Below are 575 nucleotides of genomic sequence, written 5' to 3'. Positions count from 1 at the left end.
ACCGTGCGCCAATGCTAGATTGTGCGCTAATGCTAGACCATGCCCTTTTTGTCCAACCATGTTTCTACACAGTTGTCCATGCTTCAGTCATGCCTATCCGATTACCCAGTGAAGCCTCCATAAAAGGCCCAAGAGGACAGGGTTTAGGGAGCTTCTGGATGGCTGAACACATAGAGGCTCCCAAAGGGTGGGCGTCCGGGGAGGGCTGGAGGCTTCGCACCCCTTCCCCCATACCTTGCCCTACACATCCCTTCATCTGTATGCTTTGTAGTATCTTTTATAATAAACCAGTAAACATGTTTCCCTGAGTTCTGTGAGCTGCTCTAGCAAATTAATTGAACCCAAAGAGGAGGCTCTGGGAACTCCAGTTTGCAGCTGGTGAGTCAGAAGCTCTGGAAGCCCAGATTTGTTTGTTTGTTTTTTTGTTTGTTTTGGAGATGGAGTCACTCTATCACCCCGGCTGGAGTGCAATGGTGTGATCGCAGCTCACTGCAACCTCTGCCTCCCAGGTTCAAGCGATTCTCCTTGGAAACCCAGATTTGTGATGGCGTCAGTGGGAAGTGGGGGAGGGGGCA

Source organism: Homo sapiens, chromosome 9 (assembly GCF_000001405.40).
Source record: "Homo sapiens chromosome 9, GRCh38.p14 Primary Assembly".
NCBI classification, from domain to species: Eukaryota; Metazoa; Chordata; class Mammalia; order Primates; family Hominidae; genus Homo; species Homo sapiens.
Note: the sequence above shows the minus strand (reverse complement) of the source record.